Raw genomic sequence first — 898 nt, forward strand, 5'->3', positions numbered from 1 at the left:
AATCCACGGTAGTTGTGACTATAAGTCTTGCTTGGGACTATGGATTTTAATGACCTTAGCTGAGGCCTATATTCACCTAGGTAACTCCTGGTAAGTTTTAGTAAATTAAAATATCAAGTTGCAATTTGACAGTACTCTTCCTTCTTATGTTTCATTCATGCAATGAAAAGTTTTTGAACTCTAAGTCCTAGGCAAAAGTAGAAATTAATAATGTTCATTCTTTTCTATCACTAAAATGAAATGAATTATACAAGTCAACCATGTTGGGTTCCAGGAGTTATAGGGAGACAGAACATATTATATTTTGTGAATTAAATACAAATTCTGCACATTTGGGTAATTTATACATTTAAAACCATACTGTTCTGCATTCTTCTTTGAAATGAAGAACTTCGCATGTGGATCTATGCTTATGAGGTGAAACTAGAAGCATAATCAAGCTGAATTTGACAAAAATAAAAGTTTCTAATCTTCCATCATGACCCTTTGCCTCTTCATGCTAGACAAACCTAGCTAAAGGTCTATTATCTTCTTTTTTCTTAACACAGAGAAGCAGAATATGTACACACCCAATACCCCAACCATCTGAATCTGCTCATGATATTAAAATACCTGATCTCATGTTTAGGTGGAGGTTTAGCATTTTTATTTTGATTTGGCCAGTACCTAAGTGTTCAATCAATCTATGCATCTTAGATGATAGCTGGTACAAGGATTGTGTGATTTGTCTTGGTCCAACATCTGGCCCCCTGGACCATTTACTGGACACTCAGTAGATGCCTCTGACAGATGGTGATATGGGCTGCTGCTGCTGTTGATGACACTGTTGATGATGATGATGATGATGCAAATGCTCTAACAAGAGCAATGCACAAAGCATGGCTACAAAGTAGTTCTC

This window comes from Homo sapiens, chromosome 18 (assembly GCF_000001405.40).
Source record: "Homo sapiens chromosome 18, GRCh38.p14 Primary Assembly".
NCBI lineage: Eukaryota > Metazoa > Chordata > Mammalia > Primates > Hominidae > Homo > Homo sapiens.